We start from the raw sequence: 4,420 nt of genomic DNA on the forward strand, positions 1-4,420 counted from the left end.
TCTCAACCCTTGGTTTTAACAGGAAACCACAGGGTAATGCTGGAGAAACTGCTGTTTTCTTGTAGACTCTTGCAGGCCCCAGACCCAACAGAGAACAAAATGGGGCCTGTCCCGTTGTGTGCCTGTCTTCTTCTTTCTGTTTTTTCTCAGTGTCTTCATTTTCTAACAGCTCTACGTGTTTGGATGTTTTGGTAGGTGGTAGCTTGAGCACATTTTTTCCTTGCCTTATGCAAGCAGGTCTTTCAGCTGGAGAATTTTTATACGTGTTGGAAAAATATGGGCAGAGTTAGTTGTGAGGACAATTGCAAAGGAGATGGAAGCTGGGGGGTAGGTGTGAAAGGAGCTTTCTGTGCTGTCTCCCATCCTATTGTTCGGGAACCTGTCCACAATTCTAGTGTCTGCCTCTGGCCCCTTTCTATAAATGTTGACTCCATTTCTCACTGTCATGAGGATTCAGGTATTATGTGCACCAGCTATTACATAGTATCGCCCTCTGGTGGTACAGAACTGTTAGCCCCTGTATTAAAGGGGTCCAGAACGTTGCTATTACATGCTCTTTGTCAACAAGGGAGGAGACAGAACAATAGTTTTTTAAAAAGGACTACCAAATCTCACATTTTATAAGAATGAATCTTTCTCCATTGATCTGCTGCCCTAATGACCTGGGAAAGAGGTGAATTGCCCTTGTTAAAACTGTTTCTGATTTATGAGTCAATAGGTAACAGGCAAGAGGCCACTGTAGCTTCTCAGATTTTTAAAAATACTTTGGGGCTGACTTTAGGTTGAGAAGATTATTTGCCTAATTTTAGAATGGCTCTTGTATTATTCAGAGTAGGCCAACTGCTGCCACAAATAAGTTATGCATTTCGATGCTTTGCAAAATAAAGTTTATGTCTTGCTCATGCAGTGACCCATCATAGGTCTTCCTGGTTAGGTAACTCTCCTATGTTGCTCTCCTCCATGTGATGTCATAGGGACACAAGCTCCTCCTAGCTAATGGCTCCACTCTTCTTAAGGCTTCAGAGAATTTTCTATTTACTCAGTAGATTGAAAAAGGCAATCAGGGGTTGTACAAGGGAGTGTTTATGGGCCAGACTTGGAATTTGCATCCATCACGTCTGCCCACTTTGGGCATTCTATTGGCCAGAATTCAGTCTTATGGTTGTGCCTACGTGAAGGGGAGGCTGGGAAGTGTAGTCTAGCTGGTTGCCCAGGAGGAAGATGTAGTTTGTAAACAACTATTAAGTCTCTGCCACAGGTGTCATTTGTGTGGGTGCATTTCTGCCTCGTGAAGTAAAGTAAAAGGAATGTCTCAGCTTCTGTCAGAGCCCTTGAACCTTCTTGGCCTTTTCATCTCCAAGTCTACTTAATTCTGGAGTTGACAGCAGCACTGGATACAGTTTTTCAGCCTCTTGAGATTAGAGGAAGATACCTTTCAATTAAAACATGGGAATATTTTTCTGGTCCTGGGGAAGGTGTACAGCCAACATTATTTTTAAGTAAGATTTTTTTTTTAATTGAAGCATGACATAATACAGAAAAATACAAAAAAAAAGTAAGTGTCCAGCCCAATGAACTTTCACCAGGTCAGTATAGCCAGGTAACTCTCATCCAGGTCGAGAAATGGAACATTACCACTGTCTCCAAAGCTGCCAGCAAGGAAGGGCAGGTAGAGGGGTTCTCGGTGATCAGAGGAATTCAAGGGGTGCTCAGTTGCTGGCCCATTATTTTGGGCTATAATGCCTCTTTTTAAAAATGTTAGCACCAAAGTTGAAGCGAGGATGAAGAGGCCTGGGTTATGCCCTCCCCGATCCCAGCCATGGGAATTATCTTTGGCAGGGTACCTTCTTAGAGTCTCTGCTTCTCCATCTGTGCAATGGGAAGGTTGGACTAACAAGCCATTAAGGTTTCTCAAGCTGGAGCAATGTGGTTTCAGGACTTGCCCCAAGTCTCACAGGACGAGGTGCAGTGGGGAACTGCACGATGGATCTGGAAGCAATCACTGGTAGAGAGAGATGGCCTAGCCCCAGGTGGTTCCCGGGCCTGCTGGAGCCCACTCCACTGAGTTCTCCAGACTGGAGTCAGGGGAGTCGGTGACCATGGCTCTGCCACAAACAGTTTCCACCCAACTGGTGGTCAGCCTTTTTGGACTAGTCCAGGTTTTTGTGTGCTCTGAGAGGCTGCCAGAACTTGTAAGGTCAGGGAGGTATAGACATGGCCAAGGGCTAAGAATTTCAGAATATGGACTGAAACAGACTCAGGGGCCAACTCTGGCTTTACCACAGATGGTCTGTGTCATAGTGGACAAGTCATTCTACCTCTCTGAGACGCAATCTCCTCGTATGAAATTCAATGGAGATAGTTGCCTCCTTCATAAGTTGTTGTGTGGATGAAATGCCCTAATCCATGACACCTAAATGCCAGTAAGACTAAATTGTGAGTGTTGCTCTTCCATGCTTGTCCTCCAACAATGATGCTGTAAAGCTCCCCAGGCTGCCCATGGCTGGGGCTCCAGAACCTGGAGCCTGGAATAGGGATCTAGGGGAAAACAGGTTTGCTCTGCACCTAAATCCAGACTAGACCCATTTATTTTCTCTCACCCTCTTTACCCCCTCTCCCCTCATACTGGAACAATTCATTTGTCACAATTGCCCTAGTCGAGTCATTATCTCTAAAATTCAGAATAATCCACTGGGAATTTAATCAGATCAAATAATAACCATCCAATATAATTATAATTAAAAGGAATGCTTAGAACATGTAGTACGCTTTTTCTCCTAAATTCTCTGGAAAGCAATGGGAAGATCAGGCTTCAGAGTCCTACAAACTTGGGCTCAAGTAATGGCTCCACTACCAACTGGATGATCCTGAGCAAATGACTTAATCTCTCTGGACTCAAATGAAAAATGGGGCTGCAAGGTCTTCTAATTCTCACTTCTACTCTCCTTCCTTGGGCAGCCTGGAAAGCTTTCCAGACTCCCTTGCAGCTAGGGCTCTGGCTGGAAATAAATTCCACTAGTCATGGTTCTTGTGAGAGGTCTATAAGGCAGAACTGAGGGACACCTTCTTCCTCCCTCTGAGGTTGCTGGTAAACTTGGTTGTGGTGAGTTTAGAGGCAGCCAAGGAAGATGGTCACTAGCTTCAAGGGTGGGAGAAGTAGTCGTGACAGTAGCTCTGGTGGCAGCTACAGCAGCTTCCTGATAGCTCAGCTGTGTGATGTGTCCACATATCCAACTGCTCATTGTCACCCCCCTGCACATGCTCCTCCAGCCCTAACCACAATCTTATAAACATTTGATTCCCTCTATGAAAATCCTCTTTTGCTTGAAATACTTAGAGTGACTTCTGTTTCTTACACTGAACTTGACCAACACGGGGTGATAATACTGCTAATTTTTCAGGATCATGAGGATTAGGCAAGCTATTAAATGTAAAATACCTGTTGCAGAAGGAGCGCTCAGTCAATAGTAGTCACTAATCATTACAAGAAGACTAACTGTGTACAGAACCAGTCCTGTAAATTGCATCTTGCTGCCCACCAGTGTTAGCAGGATTTTTTCCCACTTTGGTTTTTCCAAGCAGTCAGCAGGCATCTACAACAAGAAGAAAATGATCCTTGGCTAACGTTGCTTTCCCCTTGTGTTCTCGCCAACAATTCATGTTGCCTTAAGAGATTAGGCCTCTTTATTGCTTGCTTCACTGCCCCGCTAGCTGTCTGCACCAACGTTACATCGTGGCTGGCTGGGCGTGTCCTTCTGATGGACTCCAGGCCTGCTGCACAGAGAGCAAGGGGGTTATTTGATCTCTTGGCTGTGGCTCTTACAAGTCCCATTGAGAGTGCTCTTACCCACAGAACTCTGCTTTGCTAATTGTCCCAGTGTAGCCAAATAAGCACAATTACACCTAAAGCAATGAGCATTTCTTCTGGCAGGATTTGGGATTTGGAAGAGAGCAGCCTCTACGGGGGCTCAGGGGTCAGCTCTGGGTACCACGCAACCCTTCCCAGACCCTCAGAACCCCCATGACTAATGGGCAGCTGATACAGGGTTATGAGGAGGCATCCCCCGCTTCCAGAGAGATTTATTACTCAGCCTGGACCAGAGTCCTGGAATATAAGAAAATCCCTCTATTTGGTGTCTGTCAAGATGGGCCCGAAGCCTGGTATCTTCCCCTCTGAGTCCTGTTGCACAAATTGTGTTGGTGGGAAGGCAGGGAAGTTGTTCTTCCACCCCTGCCTCAGATGACTTTATTAAAAAGCCAGTTGGCACTTTTCCTATTGCGCATTCTCATTACAGTGCTTCCAAAAAAGTGAAGTTATCCCACAAAGCCGACTCATAAAATTATTAGACCCTGGAGAGATGTTCAGACTCAATCCCTTTCACCAGCGAAAGCTTAATGAGAGTGCAGCCCTGCCCATGGG

The 4,420-nt window shown here is 45.5% G+C and overlaps 1 annotated feature.

Moving 5' to 3' along the window:
* Nucleotides 366-415: an enhancer, noted in NCBI's record as "active region_23171". NCBI's record gives its function as "activates an Ori minimal core promoter by ATAC-STARR-seq in GM12878 lymphoblastoid cells {active_cell/tissue: GM12878}" and the evidence as "EXISTENCE:reporter gene assay evidence [ECO:0000049][PMID:35858748]".

Source organism: Homo sapiens, chromosome 5, assembly GCF_000001405.40.
Source record: "Homo sapiens chromosome 5, GRCh38.p14 Primary Assembly".
NCBI classification, from domain to species: domain Eukaryota; kingdom Metazoa; phylum Chordata; class Mammalia; order Primates; family Hominidae; genus Homo; species Homo sapiens.